This window comes from Homo sapiens, chromosome 10 (assembly GCF_000001405.40).
Source record: "Homo sapiens chromosome 10, GRCh38.p14 Primary Assembly".
Lineage (NCBI taxonomy): Eukaryota > Metazoa > Chordata > Mammalia > Primates > Hominidae > Homo > Homo sapiens.
The window spans coordinates 118,525,635-118,536,208 of NC_000010.11; the positions used below are offsets into that span (position 1 = coordinate 118,525,635).

Sequence of the window (10,574 nt, forward strand, 5' to 3'; positions counted from 1 at the left end):
CTCTCTCTCTTCCTCCTGCTCCGGCTATGTGAAGTGCTGCCCCTGACTTTGTCTTCCACCATGATTGTAAGTTTCCTGAGGCCTCCTTAGAAGCCAAGCTGATGCCGGCATCAGGTTTCCTGTCATGCCTGCAGAATCGTGAACCAATTAAACCTCTTTTTCTTTATAAATTACCCAGTCTAAGGCATTTATTTATGTCAGTGTGAGAACTGACTAATACAATGCCTCTATTTCTGAAGGGAAGAAGGAGAGGGAAAGGAAGGTGGAAATAAAAGACTTCCCAGAAATCCTCAGTGCAGTCCACTTCAATTTGATTGGCCAGACCATGTGCTATGGTTTGAATATGTCCCCCAAAAGTTCATGTATTGGGAACTTAATCCCTAATGCAACAATGTTGGGAGGTAGGGCTTAATAAGAGGGGTCTGCCCTCATCAGTGGACTAATGTCTTTAGTAAGGGAGCAGGCAAGTTAAAGTGAGAGGGAGTTGTTATAAAAGCAAACTCTGCCACCTTGTATGTGCTCACTCTCTCCTCCTCCTCCTCCTCCTCCTCCTTCCTCTCTCTCTCTCTCTCTCTCATGCTTGCTTCTACCTTCCACCATCCCACCATGGGATGACCCTTGCCTGATGCTGGTGCCATGCTCTTGGACTTTACAGACTATAAAACCATTAGCAAATAAACTTCTGGTCTTTATAAATTACCCAGTCTGTGGTATTCTATTGTAACAGCAACAGAAAACAGAGTAAGACACCATGTCAAATGGCTATTCCTAGCTGAGAGCTAGGGAAGTGAATTTTTCATTCCTCTGCCTTTCTAGTAGAAGACAGCAAGGAGAAAGGGGCTGAAATGGGTTTTGAGTGAGCCATAATTATTAATATGATTTTTGTAGTAGTTCTGAAAACTTCTGGGGATGTCCCATGGGAATTTCTGACTTTTCTCAACCATGCTGCCCCTTCCATTGAAGGCTTTGGATCTTAGGCATCGTCCTAAGTATTCCAAATGGAAGGTGGTAATCAGAGGGTTCCCCTGAGCCTGCCCCTCCCTAACTTGCTTTCTAAAAACAGCTTTCCTTTGGGCTCTGATGTAAGTCATACTTGTTGATGAAAGAGGCTATGTCATTAATTAAGGAAGCCAGTGGAGAAATGGCTGGTGTTTGGTGTCCATGAGGGTGTAGGATGTTGCCATATTAGCAAGATTCATTCTCAGGCCCAAGGGAGCTTTGTGGGATATGGGGGTTTCCACAGGACTGGAGAGATGGAAGCTTAATATGAGCTGGGCACTGTGCTGAACACTTTACAGGTATTATTGTAGTTGATGTTTCCTAAAACCCTGCAAAGTAGACAAAAGTACTGTTCAGATTTTTCAGATTAGAAAAATGAGGCTTAGAGAGGCTCATAGGAATGGAGAGATATTTGGGGAATTTTGCTATCAACTGGACAAGATATCTCTATTTTGCTTGGAATTACCTGGTAAAGATTCGGATGAGTTTTTAATGCTTTGTGGGTGCCAAGCTAATGTGTTTTCTGGACGTGATCCTGTGCTGAGCATGGCCACCAGGCAGTTCCTTCCACGGGCTACATGTATTATCTCATTTCAGGAGGAGACATGGCGGATGACCTGTGAAGCAGGCTGGGGTCAGTGTCAGGGCTGCCTGAAGTCTGACTTCTGAGTGTGTGGGACTATGGCCCCCTTTGGAGTGGAGCAAGGAGCCCCCTTTCCCAGCTAAATTTTTACAAGATTCTCTGTGTACACGGTCTTATTGCTTACTCAAAAGCATTGTCAGAGGCGTATTCAGTTTCAATACAATACAAATTTGTGTAGCAAAATATTTACTCAGCCTTTGACTCTGTGAGTGTAAACTTTGATAACGATGAAAAGATCTGGAGCTGAAAATCAGAGCCACAGAAGGAAAACACAGGGCCTTGAATGAGCTGCTGCATCAATAAAGCATCCTAGTCAACCAGGATGGCAGCTCTGTCCCTTCATGCGGTGAGGCCCTGCGGGCCACTGCAGCACCCTCTGAGGCACAGTCAGACCGATGCGCCTCAGGTCCTGTCAGGTTGGCAGTCACCCTCCTGAGTGCCCAAGTCCTTTCTCCCACCCAAAAAATAGTCTGACCCTCTCACACCGCCACGAAAAAAATGAATACAATGAGCCAAGTGTAAAGAAAGTCAGGAAGTTCCTACCCACCTGGATTCTGCACTGCAGCCCTGGCATCCCCTCTGAGTGGGCCTACAAGTGATGGACAGCAAGAGATGATTGACCTTTCTGGAACTCTGACTGCAAAATCTCCAGGAAATTGGGATTACATCACTTCCCTGGGTCTTGAATGGCATTTTCTTCTCCTCCTTATTCCCAGTCTTCCTTGTGGTTTACTCCTAAATAAAAATTTCCCTCAAATTTCCAACTTTTATGTCCGGCCACCATCTCATAAACATGTGGCTTCTACATTCATTCCAGTCCTACCAGATTGCTGCCAGAGAATGTTACAGTCGCAGATGCAACACATCATGGTCCTTTGTCGTGGGAGTGAACACTTATTTTTGTTCGGCTAGTGGGTTTTTAGAGACAGGGTCTTGCTCTGTTTTCCAGGCTGGGGTACAGTGATGTGATCATAGCTCACTAGACCCTCGAATTCCTGGGCTCAAGCAACCCTCCTGCCTCAGCTTCCCAAGAAGCTGGAACTACAGGCATATGCCAACATGCCCAGCTAAGTTTTTTAAACTTGGTAATATGTAATATGCACGTGTAATTTTTATTTTGTAGAGCCAGGATCTCACTATGTTGCCCGGGCTGATCTCAAACTCCTGGCCTCAAGCTATTCTCGCACCTTGGCCTTCCAAAGTGCTGGCCCCCACCCCGGCCAGACACCTATCTTAATAGCCTGCTAGGCATCCTGTCTTCTAGTAATGACTCACTGATTGTCCTCAAAGTTCCAACACTCCCTCGTGTCAGTGCACATGGTCTAGGTGGGGTGACCCCTTTCTCTACTCTAGGAATCTGGCTGATGAGAGCGCTTTTCACCCTGGCTATGGAGACGGACTTAGGAACGGGCATATAATCCAAGCCAGGCCAAGAGTACTGACTCAATTCCAAGATGTCTGTGCCCCCATAGAAAAGAGGCATGTAGCCCATGCCTTATGGATTTCATTCTAAAGGCCAAGGGAGGAAGGGACAATCATAGAGCATTTAAACCAGAAAGTGACATGATTTGATCGAGGCTGTGAAGAGATCTATCTGGCTGCTGTGTGAAGAAGCTAGGTGATGGGGGTTTGGGCCAGTGAAATGGAAAGAAGTGGATGGTTTCAAGATATATTTCATAGTTCAAACCAATAGTCTCTCTGCTCTCTGCAAGCCAGATTCATATGGGAAAATGTTCTACCAGTACCGTGGCACACTTTTTCCCTGATGAAAACTACAGGAGCTTCCTCATCCAGGAAGTAGCAGCAAGTGCAAGTGCATTGAACCAAATAGGACTTTGCAAGAAAGATCACAATTGAGGCACTGCCATCTGTCCCCATGTAGCGAAGAACGCTGTTTGCAGTCTTCATTCCCAAGCTCTTTCTTCTTGGGTTTCATTCAGAAGATGGGAAGGCCATGGCTGGGGAGAGTGCTTTTAAAGATCCCCCAAAATTTGATTATTGCACATACCTGGACAAGTAGGGGAAATAACCACAGGGAAATACCTTGGGTTGTCTTGCTTCAGCCAGCTATTCTAAAACAATAAAATGTTAAGCAATTCTAATGAACCTTGGGAGAAAAATGAGTCTTAACTAGGTGTCATGATTTGAATTGTGTCCCTTATCAAAAAATATATTGGAGTCCTAACCCCTGGTAGCTTTGGATGTGAACTTATTTGGAAATGGAGTCTTTGCAGATGTAATTAACATGTAAGTTAAGATGAGGTCATACTGGAGAAGAGGGGACCGTTCTTCCAATACGACTTGTATAGTGTCCTGACAATAAGAGACACGGGGATAACACCACCATGTAATGATGGAGGTGGAGACTGGAGTGATGCAACTGCAAGCCAAGAAGCACCAAGGATTTCCAGCAACCACAGAGGCCGAGGGATGCATGGCCCTGCCAACATCTTGATTTTTGACTTCCGGCCTCCAGAACGGTGACAGAGTAAATTTCTACTGTCTTGAGCCACCTGGCTTGTGCTTTGTTATGGCAGCCCTGGGAAATCAGTATACACTGGAGTTTTAAAAATTGAAACAACTGGCTATGTGAGGTGGCTCACGCCTGTAATCCCAGCACTTTGGGAGGCCAAGGTGAGCAGATCACCTGAGGTCAGGAGTTCGAGACCAGCCTGGCCAACATGGCGAAACCACATCTCTACTAAAAATACAAAAATTAGCTGGGTGTGGTGGCACACACCTGTAATCCCAGCTACTTGGGAGGCTGAGGTAGGAGAATTGCTTGAACCCAGGAGGCAGAGATTGCAGTGAGCCGAGATCGTGCCACTGTACTCCAGCCTGGGTGACAGAATGAGACTCTGTCTCAAAAAAAAAAAAAAAAAAAATTGAAACAACTTTTGAGTTTTTGCCACAACTCTAAATTTGGGTTTCAGGATGTATATGTAAGGTGTTTAAAACCACATCTTTCAGTACTTTCCAGTCATTTCATATGTAACTTTTATTTCTTGCAAAAGTCTTCAGGGTTATCTGGGCAGTCATATTTTGAGCATTTTGGTGCTCTGCTGCGTTAAAAAAACTAGTATAAGTTGTTAAAAAATTAGAAAGCACATTCACAAACATATATAAACACACAAAAAACAACATATGTATAGTTTCATAGTATAGTTGTAAAATGGTATCATACAGCTCTTTATTCAAATACTAGTTATTTGTGAGTAACTCCTTTTTTCATGCCTCTCTGGGTCTTTAGCCAAGTAGATACTCAAATATTAGTTGAACAAATGAAAATAGTATTAATGGTATATTAACAGAGGCAAATGATTTTTGTGGGGGGAAAACGGCATCCATCCAAGGATACCTTAATTAAAGACTCAAATCATAAATCGCAGAGCCAGGAAGGAAAATGAGGTTCTGTGTTCAGTTATTCCTCTCCCATTCTCTAGGTCATTTGAGGAGAGTGGTCTCCGTTCTAGCCTCAATGAGTATTAGGCTCTCTCGCTCACTCGCTCTCTCTCTCTCTCTCTCTCTCTCTCCCCACCTCTATTTTTTTTTAACCAAAAAGTAAGTGAATTTGCAGCTTTACATCTCACTTTATTTTTTTATTTTAGAACTAATTATTTCCTTTTTCTAGCTCCATTCTGTTCTTTAAAATCTCCAGAGAAAAAATTCACAACTGCTACCAAGAACTAGCAGTGAAGCTTGCATAGCAGTGTCTTTAACACAATAAAACTGGAAAGGCGAGTCATACATTGAGCCATAAAATAAACTCAACAAATCTCATTTCCAACTGTGGGTAGAGACTTGGTTTCAGTGTTACAGAACCCCACCTTCCATGTTCCCCTGGTTTTCAAACATGTTTGCAGCAACTTAAATATTCCTTCTTGCGTTGACTGGAGTTTCCACTCCATGCCCTAGGCAGCCTCCTGTTTGAAGAGTCCCACAGAGAAGGTGGGGATCAGGGCTAGGTCAACCCTCAAGTCTCCTTGCTCCCTTCCTTTTCCCCTTTCAGTGGCTGTGTGAAGCGCTTGCCACAGGCCGTGGTCTGAGTGGGGCAACAGGAACAGGAAGAAGCCATTCCTACCCCGTCTGGATGCCAGGGCCCTCGCAGAGACAAGTTCACATGTGTAAGCTCGGCCCTTCATCTCCTGCCTAGTTATTATTTTTAACAGGCACCATGTGCAATTCATTGATTTTTGTTTAACGTTTTTCTCTTCCTTCCTAGTCTTTTGCAAACTATTCTCACTGCAGCAGGCAATCAAGCACAGCTGGGGAGCATACCCCACTATGAGAATCCGGTTCCTCTGAAGCCTCCTCTTTTAGATAGGGGAAGAAGATGCCAGGGCAGGGAGGCAGGGGAAGTGGCTTGTGCGCTGGCCTCGGATGGAGGGGGTGACGTCACCCTAACTTATCAAAGGGAGCCAGGGCTATGATCCATTTATGGGAAACTGCTGTCTCTTCCAACTGAGTACATGCTAGCTCCTTTAATTTCATGATTAGTGTCATTTCATCATTGGGAAGACCAAGCTTTTTCCTGTTCAGTGACATAAAGCTAATATAAAACCAAGCGTGTGGTTCCTGGAAATATTCACAAAATTTTTTTTTCAAATTGACATAGTTCAGGAGTTGGGCAATAAATTTCCTTCCTAATGAGACACCACAAAGAAAGCAAACATCTGATGTTGTGCCCAAAGAGAGTCCGTTGTTGCAGATTTATGGGCAATCTGTGCAAATACTGTCCTTTCCTTTCGATGAGTTTTTAATTTTGGTTTGATAGTCTCCAGGTGTCTATATTTGCCCGTGATATTAGATGCATAAAACTGTAGTAATAGACATGTATTTTTCTTTTTTTTCCTTCTGGAAATGTACCTGTCCCCTGGGCATTCACAGCAGAGTCTTACACAGACTTGATTCATATGTCAGCTGTGTTTACATATCCATACATATATGACACCAAATAAAGACAGTCCTCTATCCACGCACACCAGCAGATAGTGTGAGAAAAAAAAAATCTCCTTTCTACAAGTTTTCCCCAAAGAAAGATGGCCTTCCAAACAAGGAGTGCAGAGGCTCTCTGTGGAGTCTGAGACATTCCCCGTTGTAATGTTCAGAGGCATGAGGGCAGGGATGGCTGATGGTTGGTACATCTTGGGTCTTTCAGCAATGAGGCACCTGGCATTCATTTTCTACTAATGTTCAGATAAAACCTTCTTTGCATGGGATCCTTCTGGGAGCCTGGCTGCACCAGGCCTGTTATGTCCAGGCCTGAACTATGTTGAGAAGCTATAGAGACCCCTTCAATGTCCTGTGCCATCATCATGAGCCTTTCAGTGGATTTGTGTGTTGGCATCTCTATGGAGCCACATTACCATGTCCTAAATCAAATGGCGGACCAAAGAGGAAACATCAAAGGTCTTGCTAATGGTCAGCCAGATACACAGTGCCTAGAAGGAGAAAAGTGTCCATTCTTTAAACTCCTGGCCCCTACTGAGATGCATATGGTGTGAAGGCAGCTGTGGTCTCTCTACCCTGGTTAGCTGTTCTTTCCTGCCCTGCTGGTACACAGGGGGCCTCCTCTTCTCACATTGGGGGTACCCACACAGTCATTCCTCTTCTGATCTACTGGGTATCTCCCAAAGAAACCAGAAGATGGGAAATGGGACAAACATGCAGTGCAGACAGAAACCATAGTCACCCAGCTCTCCTGCCAGGCCATCTCTCCAAGCTCCCTGGGTGTTGTCAAACTGTATGAAGGTCTCTGGTAAAGATCAAGTGATGGAAAGTACACAACACATGTAAGCTAATAAATGCAAGGCATTCTTCAGTCTGCAGAGCTCTTATCACATAGTAGGGTTGGTGGTGTAGTGACGGTGATTATGGTGATGATGGTGGTGGGATGGTGGTTAGAGGGGTGGCTGCAGTGATAGTATTTTTATATATTACTATTTCTTAACTTCAGTCCCATATCCCTCTGATAAAGTACCCTATTGCTTAATAGAAATTTTGGCTAATCCTTCTCTCAGATAAATATGAATGAAAGCAAGCTGAATGGCACAGGTACTTGGCTCAGAAATTGGCAATGACTTCTCTCAAGGAGGAGTGTCAGGCAACACAATAGCTCTACAAGAACAGAACTGGCCTGGTGTTTAGTATCATTGCCTCTCCTCCTGGACTAATTTTTTTTAATTGACTCAAAATTTTAGGTAAGTGAGCTGCCTATATAGGGAAAAGTCAAGACACTCTTTTTGTTCACCGATCCCATTCTTGTTGGGAAAATCCTGGGCTCTGGGCCTGACAGTCCTGAGTACAATTCCCATCTACGCCCCCACTCAGTGGCTGGGTAACATCAGGCAAGTGGCCTAATTTCTCTAGGTCTCAGCACCCCCCTCTGTAAAATGAGGGGACTGATACCCCCTTTGGGGTTGAGGATGATACGAAGACTAGGTGCAATGAATACACAGCACCTGGCATGGCAGCTGGTGCCTAGTATGTGCTCAAGGAATATAGACAATGTTATTATTACATAAAATATAAGCAGCCATAAAAAAGAATGAGTTCATGTCCTTTGCAGGGACACGGATGAAGCTGGAAGCCATCACTCTCAGCAAACTAACCAGGAACAGAAAAACAAACACTGCATGTTCTCACTCATAAGCAGGAGTTGAACAATGAGAACACATGGACACAGGGAGGGGAACAAAACACACCGGGGCCTGTTGCGGGGTTCGGGGGCAAGGGGAGGGATAGCATTAGGACAAATACCTAATGCATGCGGGGCTTAAAACCTAGACGATGGGTTGATAGGTGCAGCAAACCACCATGGCACATGCATACCTATGTAACAAACCTGCATGTTCCTGCACACGTATCCCAGAACTTAAATTTAAAAAAAGTTTAAGATTAAATATATATATATGTATATATAAGCCAGATCATGTTGATACCATCCTTAAAACCCTCCAGTGGATTCATATGGCTCTTAAAATAAAATCCAGACTCCATTCTCCAGGCACAAGGCCCATATGAGCTGGCCTCTGTCTCCTACGTCAGCCCCATTTGGTATCTTGTGACATCTCCTCACCAAGTTGTGGTTCCTCTTGACTTCCTTCACGGCTTCTAGTACATGAAACTTTTCTGTGCTTCAAAGTCTTGGTACCTAGTCTTTCCTTACTGGAACTTGACTTCACTCAATTTTTTCATTTGTTTGTTTGTTTTGAGAGTCTTGGTCTATTGCCCAGGCTGGAGTGTAATGGTGCAATGGTGCTCACTGCAACCTCCGCCTCTTGGGCTCAAGCGATTCTCGTGCCTCAGCCTACCAAATAGCTGGGATTACAGGCATGCACTACCACTCCCAGCTAATTTTTTGTACTTTTAGTAGAGATGGAGTTTCACCATGTTTCCCGGGCTAGTCTCGAACTCCTGAGCTCAGGTGATCCACCCACCTCGGCCCCCCAAAGTGCTAGGATTACAGGCGTGAGCCACCATGCCTGGCCCACTCACTCTATTTAAACACACACACACACACACACTCCTTTTTATTATGGAAAAGTTCAAACATACAAAAAAGGGAGAAAGGAGTAGCATGCACCCTATGTACCCATAACCTGGATTCAATTTATGAGCAATAAACCGGGGCCATCTCTATCCTCTTCTTCACCCTCCACCCAGACTTATTTTGAAGTAAATCTTAGCGTAACAATGAATCTGTAAATGTTTCTGCATGTAATTCTAAAAGATACAGATCTTTTTAAAAATTATATCATCATGCCCTAATTCTAAAATTATAAAAAATATTAAATGATACCATCTTATACCTAAAATATTAATAATTTCTTAATTTTATTAAGTTTCCAAGCAGTATTCCCATTTCCCCCAATTGTGTCATAAATCCTATCTTTTAATAGTTTATTTGCTTGAATCTAAATCAAAATAAGATTGCAATTGATTGATATTTCTTCTGTTTCTTTTTAATCTATAGGTTCCCACTCTTTCCATTTTTATGTTCTTTTATTTGTTGAAGAAACCAAGTCATTGATCCTGTAGAGTTTTCCAGTCTGTACCTGATTACATCCCCTTTGTGTCATTTGACATGTCCTTCTGTCTTCTGTGTATTCTGTAAATTAATCATTAGATAGTTTAATCAAATGTAGGTGGGAGTGTGTTCTATCAGGAGATATAGAATGTCTAGCTCTCTCTTTCTGTTATGCTAATAGCAACTAATGAGCTTGCTTACATCCATTTTGTCATCAGAAGTCACAAAATGATAGTATTCTAATTTTATTATTATTTTCAATTTATAATAAAATAATGAATAAAGAGGAACTATAAAGAAAAGATTTATTTTTGTCAACTGCTTGGTTACCATAAATATAGAATACTATAGGGTAAGAAAGGCAGAAAAAAAGTTTGGTTATCTTCTTTTATTTAATGTTGCAGCATTAAATCACCCAGCACCCTCCCAAGACAGTGCTAGGTGATTTAATGCTGCATCATTAAATAAAATAACATAATTAAATTACCTTAACATCCTCCATAGGTGATGAATGGTGGTTTCTTAACTTATGAGCTACTTGTAGGTTTAAACATATATGTTCCATTTGGAGCCAATGTAGTTACTATTCTTAAATTAAAATTTAAATTGCCTCATCTTTGATCAGACAAAAGGCTTCTGAATTCTTTTGGCGCACCTTCAGTAAGCTTTGACATGTCCTTGCTATCTAGCATAACAAAAAGCTTCAAGTTTTTCTCTTTGTTTCCTGGCACAGACTTGGAATCAACTATTTCTCCAAAGAACCCTGTGGTAGTGTTGATTTATTCTAAGCTTTCAATTTATTCTCCATTGTTCTTTAAATATATGTATAATATATGTGTATGTAGAAATATTTTCATTTCCTTTTTATGCATGCATAATACTCCACTATTTGAATGTTTCACA

At 42.7% G+C, this 10,574-nt stretch overlaps 1 annotated feature.

Annotated features, from left to right (window-relative positions):
* Positions 4,121 to 4,319: a silencer, noted in NCBI's record as "fragment chr10:120289267-120289465 (GRCh37/hg19 assembly coordinates)". NCBI's record gives its function as "represses an EF-1alpha promoter that drives an FKBP-Casp9 reporter gene in an ReSE screen in HepG2 liver carcinoma cells {active_cell/tissue: HepG2}" and the evidence as "EXISTENCE:reporter gene assay evidence [ECO:0000049][PMID:32094911]".